Source organism: Homo sapiens, chromosome 4 (assembly GCF_000001405.40).
Source record: "Homo sapiens chromosome 4, GRCh38.p14 Primary Assembly".
NCBI lineage: Eukaryota > Metazoa > Chordata > Mammalia > Primates > Hominidae > Homo > Homo sapiens.
The window spans coordinates 33466471-33489369 of record NC_000004.12 but is presented as its reverse complement, the minus strand read 5'-3'; the positions used below and the strand labels follow the sequence as shown (position 1 = coordinate 33489369).

The following is a 22899-nucleotide window of genomic DNA, read 5'->3' as shown; positions in this document are numbered from 1 at the left end:
AGCAGCTGGTTAAGTTGTTAGGGATAATGACTTGCATAACATTTTAAGAATGTGAAATAGTTTTTCTATTAAAAAATTAAGGTGACTTCTATGTATCAACCATGCTCCTCAGAAAAAGCCTGGAAAACAAAAATTCACAGTGGATTCACCCTGCTTCTCCTTCCCTTCCTCAAGTACATCACCATGCCATTGTAGAAAGACACCAGGTCATCCTTCCCAGGAGCCAATCATTTAAAATAGCCCTGCAGATTGATCCCTTAACTTTAAGTTACCACTTTGAAAGAAAAATCTACGTGACTGTTACCTTTTGCTCAGGATATTCTGATTGCTGTAGAAATGGCTATCTTCACGTTCTAGAATTTTTATATCGGGAATAATTGGAGGTATGGTGAGCATAATATAACGAAATTAACCTATTATACAAAGGTTTTCAAACTTTTGGAGTTTCATAAGTAGTCTTCGTTTCAATAAAAATTAATAATAATAATAGTAAGCTTTGGAGATTTTCTAAATGCTGAAACGAGTTGATGAGTGTTTTAATCTATGTTTTCTAGCTTTAATGTGATAAAAGAATTGGCTGAAAAACACTAGAAATGACCTCAGAAAGGTTCAAGAACCCAGAGAGTCCTGGCATGGAAACTGAAGAAAGGTAGAACACAGCATGTATTTTTAACACCCTGCTGGACTCAGATACTCCTACCAATAGCAGGCAAAGCCAATAGCCCTAGAAAACCTCCTGCTGAAATGACATCTCCACCTCAGTTGAAATCCAAGCACTTCCTGTGAATAAGTATCTTCTTTCAAAAATCAGAGTCTGAGTAGGAGTATGAGATTTGCTGAGCCTTCATCAGAAGCACGCCAATATCCACTCAATATAGGGCTCTCCCCAAATAGATGGTCTGCAGGCACAGATACCAGAAACAAATTCTAAATCAAAGATCATGTGTGCATTTTAAATATTAAGATGTTACACCAACTCGTTATGATTAGAACCTCTCTCTCTGTATATATATATTTGAGATGGAGTCTAGCTCTGTTGCTCATGCTGGAGTTCAGTGGCACAGTCTAAGCTCACTGCAACCTCCATCTCCTGGGTTCAAGCAATTCTTCTACTTCAGCCTCCCGAGTAGCTGGGATTATAGGCACCTGCCAACATGCTCAGCTAGTTTTTGCATTTTTAGTAGAGTTGGGGTTTCACCGTGTTGGCTAGGCTGGTCTCGAACTCCTGACCTCAGGCAATCCACCTGGCTCAGCCTCCCAAAGTGCTGGGATTACAGGTGTGAGCCACAGCACCTGGCCAGAACCTATAATTTGAATCATTTTAATAGGATTTGAGTATCACAATATATCTGAATAAGCAGAAGAGGAGATGGCCAGTTTAGATATCAAATAAGTAGGGAGGTTCTAGGAAGGGGAGAAGAGTAAAGTGTCAGTTTCGACTGGGTGTGGTGGCTCATGCTTGTAATCCTAGCACTTTGAGAGGCTGAGGCTCAAGGATTGCTTTAGCGCAGGGGCTCGAGATTAAAGGCTGCACAACATAGGAAGACCCTATCTCTACAGAAAATAAAATAAATTAGCTGGGCATGGTGGCATGTGCTTGTAGTCCCAGCTACTCAGGATGCTGAGGGGGGAGTATCACTTGAGCACCAGAGATCAAGGTTGCCCTGAGCCGTGGTAGCACCACTGAACTCCAATGTGAGCAACAGAGTGAGACCTTCCTCAAAATAATAATAATAATAAATGTGTCCTTTTCTGAGAAGTTAGAAGTATTACAGTGAAAAAAAAGCAGCTGAAGCACATTTTCCCTCATTCACATTGATCTTAGATCTTACCACTAGTTTCTCTCTAAACAGGAAAATCTTCCAGGCTGAATCTGCTTTGCTGAGAGATGTACTGTAGCTAACTGCCTAGCTTATTGTGCCTGCTCAGCTAACGAGTTAAATTGAAGGTAGATGCTGGAGTAGCAGGGAAAGTATAAAAGGGAGTTTCTTCCTGTGTTTGATGTAGCTATGATTATGTATGATGTGTTAACTTAATTGTATTAATGCCCTCATTCTTCTCTTTTCCCTCTAACATCTTGGAATCTCAAAGCAACTTCATAATCTGGCTTGGCCATGTGACTTTAGCTAATGAGATGCTAACAAACTTAATGAAAAGAGAGACTTCAAAAGGTATTTTTATGTTTTTGTTCATTCTCTTGCTTTTCTGCTGTCACTACTTCCCAGCCTAGACAACTGTCAAATGAGAGACAACGTGAACCAGTCCCCCACATTACCCCTGGAAACAGTCAGCTGACTACCAGGCCTGTGAGTAAGTCCAACTGACATAAAAAGCCACCCCCAAGCCCAGCCTATACATCCTCCATTAGACTCTTGGGTTAAAGAAAGACTTATTTTTTTAAATCATTGAGATTTGGGGAAGCTTGTAATACAGCTTTGATATGCAAGAGATAGCTGATACAATGGAATTTAAGCAATAGTGCCAATATGTTTTGTAGCATAAACTAAGAATTATCAATCACTGATGAGTACCAGAATGACCTGGAAAGTATTTTGTTGTTGTTGTTGTTTTATCTATTGATTTAGAGGAAAATCTTTTAAAAATATACTCAGACCCCTTTCTGACCTCAAATCACTTGTTCTAGAAATGAGGTACATATTTTGTGTGTCTCAGCTTACCCAAAATATGGAGGCCCACTGATTTAAATATACTGTTGTTTCAACAATTGGAAGGGAATATCTCTAGAATGTTTACACATTTTATCACTATTTTAATCTGCCAAGAAAGAGAGTTACCCCTAGGCCATAATTTATTATTCTAATCTGTGGATACTGGTCATGCAGGATGTACCCTGAAAAGTCAGATGATCACAATGGGCTTAAGATACTTTTCTTGGAAAAATGCCACCCAGCAACACACTGAGCAATCATTTCCATCTTCTTGATAAAGATGCAAAGGAAATATGGATGCATTTAGCCTGGTCCACAAGACTACCACAGGAGTTCCCTTTCTGCACAAACAAGTGAGTAAACCAAAGCCCAAGCAACCTGTCTGCAGGCCAGAAAGTTATCATCTTTACTGCCAATGTTCCTAGTCCTCAAATATGATAATAGCATTCTACCTCATCTGTTTCTTTTCCTGCTGTTCCACTTGCTGGGGAAGGGGCGGGGGTTCATCCCATGACTGGTTCCTTTTAATTTTCCTGAACTCACAGTGGCTTCCCTGACATTTCTATGAAGAAATCCCTGCCCCCATTCTCTCTCCCCGCCACCACTATACATCTCTGTATTCCAAAGTATTTGAAGTAACTTTATTTTGTTTCCTTTATAGCTATTAGCATTGATATGGTGATTATATTTGTAGTATACCACTTATCATAAAATCAAGCATTTAGCATTTATGGGATACATACGTGTGTGTGTGTGTGTGTGTGTGTATGGAAATCCTGGAAAAGCCTGTTTTATTTATTATTAGTTAACAAGTCTTATTATCACAAGTCTTTTATTATCAGTCAGATTATCAGAAACTGGAATATCAAAGCCAAGTAGATTTGCCTGAACCCATCAGTGAAATTCGTGTTTCCCTTGTGCCACATATCCTTAATTACTTTTGTATGAACTATGCTTAATTCAATAGAAAAAAAAGTTTCGGGTATCCAGTAAGATGAATCAGGAATGAAAATGATGAAGATATGCCCAAGAGTCCAAGACATACCACTTAATGGCTCTAGTCATAACTGAATATATTGTGATTTGAAGTTCACATTGAAGGCAGAATGTGGTGATGGTCAGTGGCACCACAGTCACTTCCAGAAAACCTAGGTACTCCTTCTGACCCTGATGCTAGCCATCTGTGTGTTTATGGAAAAATCATTTAACTTTATTTTCCTCATCTGCAAGATAATAGGAGAACTAGTTGATCTCAAATTAGCTCATATCCTGTTAACGCTTTCTCTAGCATTTGGTCTTGGTCCCTTGCAGTTAATTTTTCATTGGTTCTGATAATAGTGCTTTCCTTTAGTGAAAGTGGCAGCAGGAGGTGGCAGAAAGGCCATGGGTTTTAAAGTCAAACAGATTTGTGTTTGAATTCCAGCTTTGCCCTTCCTGGCTGTGGGCTCTTGGCCAATTTTCTTATCCTTGCCAAGTTTTAGTTCACTCAACAGTAAAATGATGATAGTAATGTCTTTCTCATAGAGTTCTGATGATAGATGAAATGACACGGAAAATGCTTGAAAACATTGTATTCGGTCCTTGATAAATGCTAATTTCTTTTTCTCTGGCTCTTTTGGTATCTTTCTGAAGTCCCACTCTGTTTCCTTCAGTGCTTTTTCTTTCTCTACCCACTCCTACATACAAATATTTCCCCAGTTCAGTTTTATACTCCTTTCCAGAGATAAGTTCTTCTGAAATCTTCCGCTATTACTGTGCTGAATGCATTTAAGTAAATATTGCATGGCAAACCTCTCATTTGGACTATAATGACAAAATTTAACTGTGCTCTATTAACAACCATATAGCTATCCTACTCATTCTTTAAATCCATGAGAGACAACATGAAACTCCATAAACCTGCTCTCGTTCTTGTCTTTCCTATTTTAGTTTCATGTTGCCACCATCCTGCCCAGAATTGAAACTTCGGAGTAATCATTAACTCTTTTATACTTCTCTTCCCCTATATGTAATAAATTACCATTGACTTTTCTAGGGCCATACTGTTACTTATTTCATCCTCTTCCCTTCCATTTGCAGTACTGATCTCATTCTATTCATTAATCACAACACCTTCAACTATAACTTATGAGGAATCAAACACAAACCAGCTGAAATCCAACTCAAAACAGAAAAAAAATATTTTTTTAATTCCATAAATCAATGTAAAAAAGAATTTTAAGTTCTGGATTTTGCTTCAGGTAATCATGAATCTAGAAACCCAAAATGATCACTAAGACTCTCTCCCTTTGCATTTCCCTTTTTTGCTTTCCTCTTCCTGATTTAATTCATCAGCAGTGTTTCTCTATATGGTAGCAAAGATCTTAGCAGCAGCACTAGGAACATATGAAATGTATAACGAAGATTCCAAAGAATGAGTCACTCAAAATAATTTTAATAAATTCTCCAAAGAGATTCTGATTGCCTTTCTATTTCTCATTTTTGCTTCTATCCTACACAATAAAAAACAATACATTGTGGCAAAAAAAGAAAAAGTCTACTTTACCAGAATCACAAAAGTCTACTCTACCAGAGTCACAAAAAGTATGCCAAAGAAGAGTCTTAATTAGTTCATGTACCTCCAAATTTTTGCCACTCCAATCCATTCTCCCTGTGGAGGAGTGAGTTAGTCCAGGAGTGTTTCTCTATGAGAGGTCCTTCCACATGAAAATGGAAGTATTACAGAGAATGAAACATCCTTCCTCCAAAAAAATGACTTACTAAACCTGATACCATTTCTGAAATTCCTCCTTTGAAAATCATTTGATGGCTCCCAGATTTCAGCTGAAGAAAAATTTTTAAACACCCTTAATTGTGTTCATGTCATCTGCTCAACCAACAAATGTTTTTCAAATGCTCTTGAGTGACAAGCGTTGTTTTAGACACTGAGGATAAAGAATGACAAGGTAAATGAAACTGTTGCCCTGATGGAACTCACATTTGATGGACTAATCTGACTTTACCACTTCTTATACTTTTCCATGAAGATTTCTATCAGTCCTCTGATATAGCACTCAATATTTATTCTCTCAATCTGTTTGGGGGCTCTATGTCTTTGATGATATCATTCTTTCAAAGTCTCTGTCTCTTACCACATTATCTGTTAAAATATGTATTTATTTATTTATTTATTTATTTTTGAGATGGAGTTTCGCTCTGTTGCCCAGGCTGGAGTACAGTGGCTGAGCTCAGCTCACTGCAACCTCCACCTCCCAGGTTCAAGAAATTCTCCTGCCTCAGCCTCCCCAGCAGCTGGGACTACAGGTGCACACCACCACACCCGGCTATGTTTTTTGTTTTGTTTTGTTTTGTTTTTTTGTTTTGTTTTAGTAGAGATGGGGTTTCACCATATTTGCTGGGCTGGTCTCGAACTCCTGGCCTCAAGCATTTCTCCTGCCTTGGCTTCCCAAAATGCTGAGATTACAGGTGTGAGCCACCATGCCTGGTTAAAATATATATTATCTAGCTTTTATTGTATAACATAAACTTCAAAATCTTGGTGTCTTCTTGCAAGAAACATTTATATTTTTTCTTCTTGAGTTTGGATGAGTTGTGGTTCAGCTGGATTTTCCACTAGGCTAAAGGTTGGGTTCAGAATTACCTCACTTGTCTCATATGGTGACTTAATGGGCGTGCTTCTCTCATGGTGATGGCAGAAGTCCAAGGGAGCAAACACTGTCATATCAGTTTATATAATGCCTACTGGCATTCCAATGACCACAGAAAAGCATATAACCAAGCTCAATATCATTGGGGCAGGTAAATATACACCATGTGCTCTAGAGGGAGGTACTGCCAAGTCAAATGTCAAAGGATGTGGATATACAATTATATCATAGAGAAGAGAGTGATAAATTGGAAAAAACAATAAACTTCACCATGAAATCCAATACATTCTTCAAGACCTAACTAAATACAAATTTCCTTTTGCAAATATTTTCAGTCCTCCAGTCAGAAAATTTCTTCTCTCTCCAAAGCACTTTGAACTTTAATGAGTGCTCTATACTTCTGCAAGGTATTATAATTAATTGCTCACAAGTTGTACCTTGAAGGGCAGAAGTTTATTTATTTTGTACCTACTACAATGCCTAGAAGATTTTTTACCTATAACATGTGCATAACTTTAGCATAGTAGTCAGTAAAACTTTGTAATCAAGCGCTCCAGCTATGGAAATCGACTCTGTCACAATGAAACCAAGCTCCACACTTAGGAGTTGAGAATCCTTAAACAAGAATAGAACCATCTCATCTCCTAGCATGTTAAGAAGACATGTAAATCATGTAAAGCACTGCCTAGCATATAGGAAAAGCATAAGGACATATACATATCATTACCTTTTTCTGGCCTCACAAATGATTGCCAATTTTCACTCACCTCTAAAATCCTAAATTAGCTGAGCTTCTATTAGTGCAATGAAAAAATTATCTTTCCTCTATGGATTGCTGCTTATTGACATTTTTCATAAAAGCTGATATCAAGTATTATCTGTCAGTGATAAACATTATTACACAACTACTTGGAACTTTCAAAAGTGTATCTATTTTTTTTATGATTACTTGTTCTTACCTTCAACTATACTTTGCACTCTGAAACAGATAGGGTAGGGTTAAAGTGACCTAAAAAAAGTTCTTGGATAGAGAAACTAGGTCTGAACTGGATCAACAAATGATACATTTGACCTCAAACATTTGTACTGTAAACTCCTAGGAGAAACAGTCTTTTGATTGCCTTATCTTAGATGTAGATGCTTAATCTTTCTTTATGTCAATAACTAGAGGTCAGGTATAAACATTTGGACTTATGAAAAACTATACAAGTGCAAAGTGAACTTACGAATATGCTGAGTTTCTAAACTGATAATAGTTCCCGGCAATATCTATTTGGAAGATTTATATCAGAAGGAAATTTTCAAAACTTAAATGCATTCTCTAAAAAAACTGAGAAAAACATTGTTTACTTTATCCAAAATATTGGTTCAGAATTATCTTAAATGTACCATGTTATTTTTAGGTAAATACTATTATTTTATTTCTGGGAGTATGGTATAAAATTTGCTTTCTTTTTATGAATAAACAGAACTCATTATTTAGTCTGTTTTGAAGTAACACAAATGATTATGAGATGTTGTTCCAGATACAGAACTTGTTTTCCACATTTCCTATAACTAGTCTAAAAATATAATATGTTCCAAAGCCTTCTAAAGTCAATATGCTAAGTGTCTTTCTTTGTTCTTTCATTTAAATTCTAGCTAGAAAGTCTTTTTAGTAAACTTGCTATAACTGCAATTTTAGGTGTGAAATATTAATGCAACTGAAAATGAAACACATATTGTTTATTAATAAACCTGCATGTGTAGGCCACATTTGCATAACTTGATTTAAAATAAAGAACTGTCGTCTAATTGGTATTCTTAATGAACAATAAAACCAATGCAGGAGTCAAAAAAGGGATGTGTGTGGAGGGTTGGGTGGATATAAAAGCTAGGTAAAAATAGATATGAACCCTTCAGATCCTTTAATAATGCATAATTGCTTTTTTAAAATTGCATATTAAATCTATAGAGATAAGCCATTAGTGATTTTGTGTTTGTGTGTGTAGTTTGTACATGTCACACTCAGCATGTCCAAACCTTTGTTTCCTTTTATTTTTTTTTCTTTATTTTTACAATATTGCTCTTTATTTCTGCAGAAGCTTGAGATTTGGGGAATGGTGGTGAACTGATTTGAAAACCTTGGGTGTGGTGACCAGAAAGAAGGGACAATAATACAATCTCTGAGAACTGAGTGGGGTTTGATTCACCTCCTTGCCAGAAACCCTAGTAATTGAGATGCAGGGAAGATGAGAAGGTGACAGGTACAGCGGCTGCTTTAACTGCCTGGATAGTCTACTATGTAATGCTTTCAGATAAGGCAAATCAGAATTCACTCATAGGTGATGGCATTAAAGTAAAACAGTTAACACTTCTGAGTTTCCACTGTGTAATTAAATATTGAGTATCCATGCCATATACCATTTAATCACTAAAACAAAACTATTATGGAATGTGCTACCCTGCCCAGAAAAATTCACATGTTGGAGCTCTGATCCCCAGTGTGACTTTAGATGGAGATAAGACCTTTAAGGAGGTAATTGAGGTTAAATTAGGTCATAAAGGTGGGACTCTAACCCAATAGGACTGGGGTCCTCATAAAAAGAGAGACACCAGGAGTGCATGCACACAGAAACGGCTGTGGAAGGATATATTCCGTTGGTGTAAACATAATTGTGTTTTTTTGCCATTACTTTTAATGGGAAAATATGCAATTACGTTTGCATCAAACTAATAGTAAGAAGGCAGCCACCTGCAAGCCAGGAAGAGAGGCCTCACTAGAAACCAACCCTGCTAGCACCTTGATCGTGGACTTCCAGAATCCAGAGCTTTGAAAAAATAGGTTTTGGTTGCTTGAGCCAGCAAGTCTGTGATATTCTATGATGTTATACTGAACTGACTAATAACAGCATCAACAGAATGCTACTATTACTCACATTTTTCAATCAGGGAAACTGAGCCTCTGAGAAATGAAGTAATTTTGTTCATATTCAGGAGATGACAAGGCATATATTGAACCTGGGTTATTTTAATTTAATGATCATGATTTCATTTGCTTTGGAAGTCTGCCTATTATGGGTAGATATGTGCAGTAGTACACTGTCACTGTTTATCATTTATAACATAAATTGGTTAACTTTATGCTCCTGAAAAAAGGTTTTTGTCATTACATAAAAATCAGACAAATCAGAAAGTAAATCCAACCTTCTTTTTTAACCCTAGATATAGTAAGCTTTATTTAGTCACCGATTTAATACTGTCACTTGACATATCAATGAGACTTATAATGAACAAGCTGCTTATTGTTGGTAATGTACTTTTCAAATAGTGGGTCCTGGATTCATAGTTTCTAAGTGGTTATGTGAAACAGCTTCAAAAAGCTCTTAATATTCTGTCAAATATTTATTCAATTGGAAATATTTGAGTTTCAATGAGTAGTAATTTATTCCATTTATATTCTGCATGTGCTCATTTTAAACAAGAGTTAATTAGGTATTTCAGAAGATGTAGGAATATGAGCCCTTGAGAAAACGATGGCAAATGAAAGTGCCTTGCAGCAACTACATCTTTTTTTGCCCAATTCAAGATTAATAAAATGGAGCACTATATCAATGAGGAAATTTATCAATAATGTGAAATCATTAAGTGAGAGGTATGGGCACACATACTAGGAAAGGATTTTGGGATACTTGTTTTCTATTTTCCAATGTTCATGTTTTATATAAAACCAGCAGAGTAAATTCAGAAATACCTAGGAATATGTAAGAAACATCCCATTATTTTGCTACCAAGTGCTGTGCACAGTAATTTAATAATACTTCCAATTGGCACAAAATCAGTTATTAATGACATACAGTATCTTCCACACATGTGACATTACAGAGACAAATTTCAGGCAACCCCACATAGGTTCCTTGAAGCTAAAGTCACCATTTCTGTATCCTAGACATTTATAAACTCTTCTTTCTTAAGACCATCGAATTCAGACGTCATCTTTTTCAGATTTTGCATCACTTACTTTATTTTTTTGAGTTTTCTCTTTCATTAAAGTTGGTGGCAGGTAGACTACTGTCTTCACCCACACTCCTTTTTAGGAGTTCTATATTAAATATAACAGGTAATTAGAAAATACAGGCAAAAAATAAACACTGTGAAATTAAAAGAAATTCCTAAACCTTCACAACGTTGTTGAATTAACAAATCCTTATTTTTGTTGCTATCTTACTTCTTAAAATCAGGGGTCCACAGCCCCTGGGCCACAGACCAGTACTAGTCCATGGCCCGTTAGGAACCAAGCCACACAGCAAGCAGTGAACAGCAGGCAAGCCAGAGAAGCTTCATCTGTATTCACAGCCCCTCCTCATCGCACACATTACTGCCTGAGCTCCAGCTCCCATCAGATCAACTGCAGCATTGGATTCTCACAGGAGTGCAAACTCTATTGTGAACTGCACATGCGAGGGATCTATGTCATGCACTCCTTATGACAATCTAATACCTGATGATCTGTCACTCTGTCCCATCAACCCCAGATGGGAGCATCTAGTTGCAGGAAAACAAGCTCAGGGTACCCAACGACTCTGAATTATATTGAGTTGTATAATTATAGTAATAATAATAGAAATACAGTATACAATAAATGTAATGTGCTTGAATCATCTGGAAACCATCTCCCCACACCGGGTCCCTGGAAAAATTGTCTTCTATGAAACTGGTCCCTGGTGCCAAAAAGGTTGGGGGCTGCTGCTTTAAATGACAAGGAAGCCCAATGTCTGGTTACTTCCCTTTTTAAAGTTTAAAAATATAAGTACTTCATGTCCTTGCATAGACATTTACTTTTCTGTATTATCAAGCAGTAGCATCAAAATCACTATTTCATTTTTCTAAAATGCTATGATTCAAACATAACAGGGTTGATTTTACAATGTATTAAGGTTTTAGGGGCAAAACCAGTTTTCAGAAGCTTGGAAGCAGCCTGGGAGACGATAAGGTGTTACAGCTTTAGTCTATGCTCTGTTCATACGTGGAATTCAGACGTGTCTCTATATGTCTGGCAGCCTGATCCAGAAGTCAACTGTAATAAACCCCTGAGGAGCATCCTGGGAGAGGGCTCATCATAATGGAAGAGTCAGGCAGTCAAGCGTGGCTTAGTGAAAAAGCTTTCATTATCAGTCAAGAGAAGCAATTCTGAGTACAGCATGATGTTCATCACTAATATTTGTCTTTGAGGCTAACCACCCATGAACCCTTGTGTCCTATTATGGAAAGAGAGGCACACATGAAAAATAAAATAGGCTGTTATTCAATTAGCACTCTGTATGATGCTGTGACATCAGCTACTTTGATACATGTCTGTAAATGGCAGAATAATAGTTTGTCCCCTATTGTGTGGATAACACAATGTGTATTAAGTGCTGAAAGTACTCAGGAGAACCCTACGACTTCAGACCACCTCACAGACTTTGACCCATCTATAGGAGTAAGATCTAGTGGAAGATAGTATTATTCAGAAGTAGTGTATCCAGAATGTCTCTACAGATGGATACAGCTATAGAATAGACATAGATTATAGAATAATAGAAACAGCTATAGAATAGAAACAGGTCAATCGATAGATGGATGGATAGATAGATGATAGATAGATAGATAGATAGATAGATAGACTGTTGTTTCTGTTTTTTTCAGGAGAATCTTGACTTAAGGCAATTTGTTGGACATGGTAAGCAGGATAACAGCCTACCACAGACATCTACATCCTAACTCCTAGAACCTGTAAATATGACAAAAGGGGCTTTGCAGATATTAGTAGGTTAAGAATCTTGAGGTGAGCAGATGATTCTGTATGAATCAGATAGGCCCAATGAAATCACAGGGTTTTTTTTTTTATATAATTGACAGAAGGAGGCAGGAGAATTACAGTCGGAGAGGAAGGTGTACCAAAGGGCAGTAGAGGTTGCTGTGATGTAATTGCTCACTGATGGCCATGAACCAAGGAATGTGGATAACCTTTAGGAACTGAAAAAGGCAAAGAAACAGATTCTTAGCTACAGACTCTAGAAAGAATGCAGTCCTGCTGACACCTTGATTTCAGCCCAGTGAATTTCACTTCACTTCTGACCTCCAGAACCATCAGATAATAAATGTTTCCTGTCTTAAGCCACCACATTTTGGTAGTTTGTTAGCTCAGCAAGAGAAAACTAATACACTAGAAATACTGCAGTGGCAGATGAGGACAAGATCTTGCAAAAGGAAATGGAAATAGAAAGAAAGGAGAGAAGGAAAGGAAGGAAGGAGAGAAGAAGAAAGGAAGCAAGAAAGGTAGGAAGAAAGAAGAGAAGGAAGGGTAGAAGGGTAGGAAGGCAGGCAAGCATGTAACTGAGAATGATATGAGGCAAGAAGGATGAGTGAGAAGAGAAGATAGGACAAAAGAAGCCCAAGATAGACACATGACTAGAAATGTTTACCTTAGAGTTGTAGGCTTTGAGCTTCACAGAAGTTGAGCTATTGTCCTATGAGTTCAATGTGCTTATAGCTCCCACTACTTTCTCTGAGCATTATAATCCTGAATCCCCTGGGATACTCAGTGAGAACTAAATATGTTTCATTTTCCACTCTTGCTTCCTAGCCTAAAATATATATTAGAACTTGATTGTGGTATTTCAAAATGTATACCTACGTTAAAACATGAAATTGAACACCTTAAATATACTATGTATATTTTACTATGTAATTTTTACTATGTAATTTTTACTATGTAATTATACCTCAATAAACCTGAAAAACATTATTACTTTATCTCATTATTCTTCCAGCAGTCAACAAATTTTAAAAGAACAAAAAACGATTCTTTCTTGCTTTAAAGTATACTGCATTATTTGTGTAATAATTTTCTCCTGTAGATAAGCCAGGAATTTCCCCAAATTTAAACAAAATAATAACAGACAGTTTTAATGTTTTAATATGCAAAATCCTACATTTAATAAACAAAATGCATTTTTTCATTTGTGTTTAATATCTGAGACATTTCATTATGCTACAGATTGTTCAAACTTGCACTGTCTTTGCTACAGTTATTTAGCAATTTTGAAATCTTTTCAACTCTATAAAATGTGTCTGAGGAATAGCTTTTCATCAGTTTAGTAATGATCCCTATATTTTCCAACTCTTCATTTTTATGCTATTTTTTCTGTTTATATATTTAAGACAAAGTGGTTCAATAAATTTCATTACATTGTCATATAAAACTAAGACAAGACCTCTGCTTATCTAATGCTCTTGAAAATTGATTTAAGTCAAGGACTGGAATTCAGAATGGTGCCACAGTTTTGAACAATATTTTCAAAGATTTCTTCAAGGTGAGAGGGTGAGAGTGTATGGAAGTACAGTGAGTAGCATGTTGGAGTGAAAGCAAATGAGATTATGTTATCAGAGCTGAATGATAGCAGAATGATATCTATTACAATACTTTTTTTGTGAAGAGCTGACTATTTTGCGGTCTTTACACATTATTCCAGCAAGCAGTTTTAGCCCTGTGGCTCTATGGGCAGAGAAAATAATTGGCAAGGAAGACACCATTTTCTCATTCTTAAAGAAGATATCCTGTTCCCAAACGGAATTGCCTTCTGTTTCTCTTCTTCTATTGACTACTATGAAAACATCACATTGGAAAAAATTGGTGCCATCAGATCTTACGTTTGTAAGATCTGATTACAAACCTAAGAGTTGTCTCTTCCTTCCATGAACATGTAGACTTGCAATTAGTGTTGATCAGTTTCCAGGACATGATAAAATTGTGCTTTCCAATCTTTTTGGAAGCTAAATATGACTGTGTGTCTTGCTGAGGCAAATGAATATGTATGAAAGTAGTCATATTACTTCTAAGAAGAAGCTTTAAGAGCGAGCAAGTGACTTACCATGTCCACCCTTTCTGTATAAGTGATACTGGAGCATGTATCAAGATGGAGGACCACTGGAAACTCATTTTGGACACAGTAACTTAAATGAGGACTCCTTATTACAGCAGCATGTATTAGTATATCTGAATAGAAGCATAACATAAATTCAGATAGCATTATGTTTCTCTTTTCAAAATTCAAGATATAATACCGTGGGAGACAATTCTTCATGATGTCTCATGTTTTTGCATGTTTGTGAGCAGAGGCACTGGTTTGTCTTTGTTCTAGATTGTCTTTTCAAGGTTATTTGTATAGGATAGCCTTGGAAGACAGAAATAGTTCTCCTTTCGGGCAAAAGGGCAGATCTGCTAAATAACCTACTGCAAAAGAATCAGGTTCTGTAACATTGCAATTAATCAGTTGTGAAGCAAAAACGTTGCATGTGCAGTATCAAGTAGACACCTCTGTGTTATTCTCGTGGGACCTGGAGAAAGAGGATGGGACCAAGGCAAACACGATACTCATAAGCTTATGGTGCTCTAATAAAGTTATTGTCTCTGTAAGTTCTGCCTCTTCGTCCAGTAACCATGGCTAACTTATTAGTGTAGAAGTAATCTAAAATCTCAGATCCTTCAAAGTTTCTTGACATGATACTGGAAGATTTTCAAAAAGTGAGAATATAAACAAAAATCCAATTTCATCATGTTAATGCAAGGATAAAAGATGATAAGAACAAATTTGAAATAGGAGATAGTTTTGTACAAAGAAGTTAGCATATAATCCTCATAAAGCTTAGAAGTTTGCAAGTATACAGCAGAGTGCATTACACATAGCAGGTGTTCAGTGAATATATGGCTTGAATTAAGTGACTCAATTTTATTACTTTAATAATAGAATTTTAGTCTTATTGAGCAATTTATGATTGCATATAATTATTGTTTTGGATTTGTAGAAATGACAGTAAATCACAATGATTATTTGCCTAATAATGGTAAAAGGAAAAGCCTACAGTAAAAAAACAAAAAGTATATACGTATTTATATATTTATATCAACTTTACTATACTGATTTATATATCTCTAAATCTTTTAGCACTACACATTGATAAATTATTAATGATTAAAATTATTATGATTATTAAAACACATGGAAAGCCATCAGAGTGAAAGAATGGTTTCAAGCTAATGTCCAAAAATTTAATGAGTATAAATAGTAATAAAAAAATTAATAAATATGATTGCATTAATAAAGGTGGAATTTATAAAGCCCCTTTAAAATTGCATAAATATTTGCATATATTATACAACATATTATTCACATCAAACTTGTGAATTATAATCAGTGCTGTAGTACCTATCAGAAAGTATACAAATAAAGGCTCTGCTACTCAAAAAAAAAATTTATATTTCAGATGCAGTGGTTTATGCCTGTAATCCCAGCACTTTGGGAGGCTGAGGCAGGGGGATTGCTTTGAGCCAAGGAGTTCAAGACCAGCCTGGGCAACAGACAGAAGCCAGATCTCTAACTAAAATTTTCAAAAAGAAAAAAGGTAATAATTAGCACTATACTAATTACTCAGGACTCCCTAAGTCGTAGCCCACCGATCTTTATGCTATACATTAATCTCTGCATATCTATGAGATTTGTCACACAGATGCCTTGTATAATTGCACCACTATCATAAATGAGTCTATGAAATATCACCTTAGATCAAGATGACCCATAATTAAATTCTGAATAATTGAGAAATGTTTTCTTTACCAACGACATTAAAATGTGTTTCCAAACAAATAAAATGCTAAGATACTCAGGAAGAATGTTCAGCATTCAGACACTCAATTATTTTATATTTAATAAATGGAACTTTTTTTCCTGGGGATGGTGGAGAGGACACAAAACAAAATAGAGGATTTCACAATATGCCCAAGATTATTGGTTATTGAAAACGAATGGTTCAAACTGCTCACTTTGTTGGGCAGTTATGATCAACAGAGAAGCTTACTGGAGACAGAAATATGTTTTAGGTTTAATATGAATTGAAAAACTCATATAATTTCAATACTCTTCAAAACACAAGCAACCCACCAAAGGACAAATGTGAAACATATGCAAGTAAAATAGACTATGTGAGTTGCACTAGACAATTTTTTCAACTCTAAACCCAACTTAAATATCATCTTCCTCTTCAAAAAATGAAGGGTAGAAAATGTCCATGCAATATAATGTGTAGTCTCTGCATTATTTCTCAACTCAGTGCACCTAAGCCTCTATATGTGTAACTGGTTTCCAATTTAGTAACATAATGAAATTCATAGAATTTACATCTCATTTATTTTGAAACTTTGCCCATAAATGATTTTGTATACAAAGATGCAAATCCCCCCCCCAAGTTTAATGCAGAGATTGAGATTATTGTAAGAATTTTGCTATCAGATATGGTTTTTTCTGTTGTTACTTTGCATGCTAAAAGAAACCCAGTCATGTCATGTAGATAAAGCTAGTAACTATTTTCATTTTATTTCAAAGGTTAGAACATTCCAAAGATAATTTATGTGAATTGGCAAATGTTCTGAGGCTTAGTTATCCTGTAGAGTAACTGAGGTGTTATCAAAGACATTTTTGGTTTTTCATTGGCTTTAGCATTTTCCTTCTGTGCTTTCTTGTAGGAAGCAATTTTAACCCTATTTGCTTGTCAGTTTTAGAGGCTATTCATATATCTGTAAGTAAAGATGAAAATCAATACATTTAATAGTATTCTTGGCCTTTACAATTTGAAAATGATAGAACTGCACTGAGATGGAGATTGCAGAGTTGCTGAATTATTAAAGCTAAATTGAACATTCAAGCTAAAAGTATCATTATTCCAAATCATAATAATTAAATTATTTGTAATTGTTTTCAGCCAAACTACAACTTCACAAGAAACCTTCCTTCTTCCTTCCTTCCTTCCATTTTACAAGTTAGAATAACATATATTATTAGAGTCTCATGCAAATTTAATATAAATTTTGAAGTTTTATTACTTACACAAATAGTGGTATATTTCAGTGATTTTCTTCTTTCTTTCTTTTCTTTCTTTTCTTTTTTTTTTTTTTTTTGAGACGGAGTCTCGCTCTGTCGCCCAGGCTGGAGTGCAGTGGCGGGATCTCGGCTCACTGCAAGCTCCGCCTCCCGGGTTCACGCCATTCTCCTGCCTCAGCCTCCCAAGTAGCTGGGACTACAGGCGCCCGCCACTACGCCCGGCTAATTTTTTGTATTTTTAGTAGAGACGGGGTTTCACCGTTTTAGCCGGGATGGTCTCGATCTCCTGACCTCGTGATCCGCCCGCCTCGGCCTCCCAAAGTGCTGGGATTACAGGCGTGAGCCACCGCGCCCGGCCTATTTCAGTGATTTTATCCTTGGAGTTTGAGGAAGAATGGACTTGTAAAACCACAGGGGAATGATATTCTCTTTTGGGGCTTATCTGGAAATGTTGAACACTCAAAGCAATGATAGAGGTAGGAGGCAGAGAAATTCTAGGCAGACAGGGGTGGGTCCCCAGTGAAAGCCCACCTTCAAGCCAAAGTAGCATGAAACCCACAGCCCAAAGTGAGAACTTCCATTCCTGTTTGCCCACTCTCTCCCGATTGGTTCTTTCTGAAGACCCCAGACTCTGTCAGTACAGAGGAGAGATGGCTTGACTTCAGAGGAGAGATGCCTAGACTTTGGGGAAAAGAGATGGCTTGACTTTGGGGAAGAGATAGCCAGACATAGGGGAGAAGACCACCTGACTTCAGGAAAGACTACCTGCCCTTCCTGTCCCCTTTCCAGCTCCCCTCTCTGCTGAGAGCCATTTCCACTGCTCAGTAAAATTATCTGCCTTCACCATCCTTCAAGTGTCCTTGTGACCTCATTCTCCTTGGATGCCTGACAAGAGCTTGGTACCCACTGAGTGCAGGTACCCAAAAAGGCTGTCACACTACCCCTTTGCCATTGCCAGTGGAGGGCAGTTGCCCCACGTGATGAGGTAAGGAGCCAACTGAGCTGTTAACACATAGCCATCAACAGACAGAGGAGCTAAGAGAGGACTGTAACACTCCCTCTGGGGTTCCAGGGTCACAGGCATCCTCAGCTGGCACTGCCATGGGCCCTGCATGGAGCTCGCTCCCACCAGTGTCCAGAGTGGTTGGCTGGATCCCACACTTGCTCACTCACACCTGGTCTGGCCATGGGCCCCACACACAGCTTGCTCCCACCAGTGCCCGGAGTGGCTGGCTGGGTCCTGCCCTTGCTTGCTCATGTGATCCTTCCTGCAAGGAGCTGAGTGCGGTGGGCTGAGTAAACATTCACCCTTGTCATGAGTCTGACAAAGGAGCTGAGAAAAATCCTACATTAGCAATATTTGAAAAAAAAAAAACTTATAAAGCAAAGAGCTTTTATTTATGCATTTTCCTATATTGTTTTATATGCATTGTGACTTCCTGATGTTCAATTTTACTGATTTCCATTTTTTTTTCAGCCACTGGAAAATTACTCACTATGCCATTGGCTACATTGCCCAAGTGCTTGCTGATATTCAGTTACCCCTTTCACTACTACGGGACATTGACCCGCACATTCTTAAGGATTTGTATCATGCACCATTTCATGTGAAGTTCTGTCCAACTGACATAATTCCTGTATCATTTAAAAGTAATCGATGTCAACAACTAAAAATACATCATTTGGTATTTTTTTCACATTCTATAGCTCCATATTGATCTGTCCACATATATACATGTAACATATCATAGATAACTCACCCACACTCTCATATATACATTGTCTCTATTAGATTTCTATTCTTTCACACATAATAGAAAGCGCAAGTAATAGTGACTACTCACAGATGTTTTATATTTTTATCAAATAACAAGACTTTTGGGTATTGGGAGTTCAGAGTGGATGCACCAGCTCAAACATATAAATGCCAGGGTTTTCCAGTTTCTCTTGCCATTTTATTCACTGTCAGTCCCAAGATGGCCACTGAGCAAGGTCAGTAAAGCAAAAGCAAAACTTTCTGAGAAATACAGTATTTCTGCTGACATCTCCTTTGTCATAAAATGTGTCATGTGTCATTGCTGAGGATATGGAAAGTTTACCTCTTACAAAAAGTTTCTGATAAAAATTATTCAGGTATGTGGACCATAAGAACAAAACAAACAGTTCTTTCTCTCTATCCATCCCCTTTCCAACAAACACAGGAAAAGACAACAAAACAAAAACACCACCATCACAAAACATGATATCTATAAAAGAGAGGTAGGCAAACAGCAGATCTAATCCAAAGACAAGAAATGGCACAGTGGCAGCTAATTAGCAGGATCGAGGTGAAGCAGTCTAATTCGGATAAGGATGAAATGAATTCATTGAAAGATGTCTTTAAGAAAAATAAAACAAAATGTTTTATTAATTTTTTTTGAAAAAAAAAACTCCATAAGAGAAGAAACAATCTTCTAATTAGACAGAAAGATAGAAAAGGCAATTAAAAATGTAAGGTGAACAACAAGCTGGGAAATTCAGTTAGCGTTAAGCTAAAGCATCATGCAATTTTGTGCAATTCAAAAATGTAACACAAAGATTTTTTCTAAAAAACAAAGCTAAGCTGAACCTATGCTCTTCAGGACTTAGAGAAAAATAGTAAGAATCAATATATTCCCAAAATACATCTACAGATTATTTTGTCTTATATAATTATTTTAAATGTTTTAACAAATGTTTATTTATTTTTTCTTTTGCGACAGGGTCTTGCTCTCTCACCCAGTCTGGAGTGTAGTGGCGCTATCATGGCTCACTGCAGCCTCAACCTCCAGGGCTGAAGCAATCCTCCCATCTCAGCTCCCAAGTATCTGGGACTACAGGTGCGTGCCACGATGCAACGCTAATTTTTTTTTAATTTTTAGAGAGATAGGGGTGTCTTGCTACATTGCTACATTGCTATACTCCCCTCTGCCTCCCAAAGTGCTTGAATTACAGAGATGAGCTATGCCTAGCTTGTGTTTTGCATTTGACTACTTTTAGAAGGAAGCTATTTTTCTGGAGGCTATTGTTTCTAAAAATAAAATTCCCTTATCTATGAGTTGAGTTTGGGCAGTCATTTTACAAAACGACTTCGATTATATAAAGTTCCTTTTAAAATTAGCACAAACAGATGTTGCAATTTGGGTTAACTATGTAAGTTAAATGAGCAAATATCCTTTACCCTGATATTTGACATGTTGGTACATACACAAAACAAATTATTGGAAGTATAGAACAGTGCAAAAAGATCTTTAGAGGATTGCTGTCATAACAAAATATGTAAAACATTTCCACTATTATTATAATATGGATAAACAACATGCACATTTGTATATCATAATACTACTAAGGCAGTGAAAATCAGTTCACTGACCACTACACTTATCAACATAGATGAATTTTCAAATAATTTAAGCCCAAATGGAAGTCACAGAAGAATAGACACAACATATGTCAATATATAAAATCAAGTAAAACTAATACGCTCTTTCATGACACAGAGTCATGAAAACCATCACAAAACTAAAGAGAAAAAGCAAAATAGAATTCAGCATAGTAATTATATCGGCAGAAAAAAAGAGGATAGAAAATTGTATAGATGATTTTTAGCGTATTGCTTCAAAACAATAGGAAATAGTTCATAATCTTATTTGATTCAGCAGAAAATAAAAAAGAAATCTATTTCTTTTAGGGTGAGGATGTCTCAAATCCCAATTAAGGGATTGTCTTTAGAGCTTGCCCTAATGGTATAATAGTACACACACATACACACCCACAAGAACACACACCTCATATTATACACATACACACATATATTACATTTAAATAAAATTTATTTTCAATAAATGATGTGATTCATGGATTTAACATAATTTTATGCAAATAATTCATAAATTATCTTGGAACAACTTATTAAATAACCATATAAAATTATATTTTCCAAATGCTAAACATCATATTTATGGATTATTCAGGGTTATATTAGCATCAGTTTACTTGTTGACTCTATTAGACATTTCATAGTCCCTGAACTATTGCAGCTTTATAATATACTTTATATTAAAAGCTATGTTTGCAACTATGAATTGCTCTATTATTTTTTCAATATTTTTAAAGGTTGTCTTGCTTGTTTTTAAAAATAGCCCATTGTTGTTTTCTTGTTATTTGTTGCTGTTGTTGTTGCTTTTGTATTTGTTTTTGGCAGGGATTTAATTCAGCTGAACTTGAAATATAATTTGTCAAGATCAAAAAATATAACCATTTTCTTGGCAAATATTTTCAGTCTTGTGCCAGACATATTAAAATGATGTCAGGCCGCCATATCTAATTCCCCACCCCCACCCCCGCATTAACTGAAGCCCCTCTTACAATATCGTAAATTACTTTTCTTCAAAGAATAATGCTTACCAGTTACATTTGGTATAATGTCATTGTTAGCGCAGGAACGGGAGGAAAAACGGACGGAGGCGGCTCTACAGCAACACAGGTTTACCGAACAAACACCCGCGGAGGGGGACACCAACTAAGGCCAGAGCCCGCCCCCGCTTACAGACTGGGTAAGTTTAGGTCCGGGTGGGAGAGATCTGGGCTTGTTGTGAAGTGGGGTGGGCAGGGTGGTTAGCTGTTGCTAAGTGAGGAATTTCCTGAGATCAGGCGGTTGGGCTTAGGACTTGCCCGGCAGGATGTTTCTCACAGCCTGAGCCCTAGGGGAATTTTCCACTCTGACCTGGGTTTGCAAAATGGCGGGGGTTTACAAAATGGTGCAGCTTGGGCTAAGAGTCATCATATCCTCAGACCAGATAGTGAAACATCCGTTTAATGCAGCATGAAATAATATGTCCAAATAAAAGCCATTATAATTGTATATAAAAATTCTACATTTATCTATGATATGAAAAGGCGTTCACAAAGAATATTGACCAATAAGGAGAAGAGCTAGGGTGAAATTTATAATAATCATGGTAATAGGAATAACATTTTGTGAATGTATTATCTTCTAGGTCCTTGCAATTTCTTTCACCACTATCTAATTATCCTCATAACAATTTTATGAATATGAAACTATTACTCTTCCCTTTGATATATGGGAAATATAAAACTTAGACAATATAATTTGTCAAGGTTTTGGGGCAATATTTAGAAGAATGGCCCCCATGGTGAATGTTTCGTATCAAGTCCTACTATTCTTTAATTTGGTTCAATAGTCATGTAACTCCAATAGTGTTTTAAATCTCCTGGGGGCTCACCTTCCTTCTCAATGAAACCGAGTGAATAGAAGTTTCTTCCAAACAGCTTATTGTGGGTCTAAATAGTATAATGTCTGTCGAATTTTAGCTCCATGACTCATATTCAGAAAGCACTTATTAAATGTAAAACTCCATATGGCCTTAAGTATGATAAAATTTTTACTCACGTTTTTCGTTTTTGTCCCTATCTTGTGAACAAGTATGCTCAATGGTTTCTCCTAGTGTAAATGTGATATTTTATCTTACCTCTTTTTACTGATTATATCTTTTGATAGTCTCTTATGAATTTTAATTCTTATATTCTAACATTAAATCTCCCTTTATTCTTTCTTATTATCTTCTCGTATCTTATTTCATGCAATTCAGATATTAATTCTAAGAAGATTTCAAAGTAAAGGCTTTCCAAAACTTAGTTCCTACA

General features: G+C 36.5%; 1 long non-coding RNA gene across 2 annotated transcripts in view; it reads right to left on the bottom strand.

Annotated features, from left to right (window-relative positions):
* Window positions 1–21828, bottom strand: part of LOC105374391 (uncharacterized) — a 52893-nt gene extending 31065 nt beyond the window's left edge. Inside the window, exons 1-3 of one of the 2 annotated variants that reach the window (XR_925179.3) lie at window positions 21640–21828; window positions 14212–14336; window positions 11355–11553 (exon numbers count right to left, since the gene is read on the bottom strand). This is a non-coding gene — a long non-coding RNA (uncharacterized LOC105374391). Of the gene's footprint in view, window positions 1–11354; window positions 11554–14211; window positions 14337–21639 lie in introns of those variants that run through there. The other variant, XR_925178.3, reaches the window with a different exon arrangement.
* Window positions 21829–22899: the final 1071 nt, after the last annotated feature.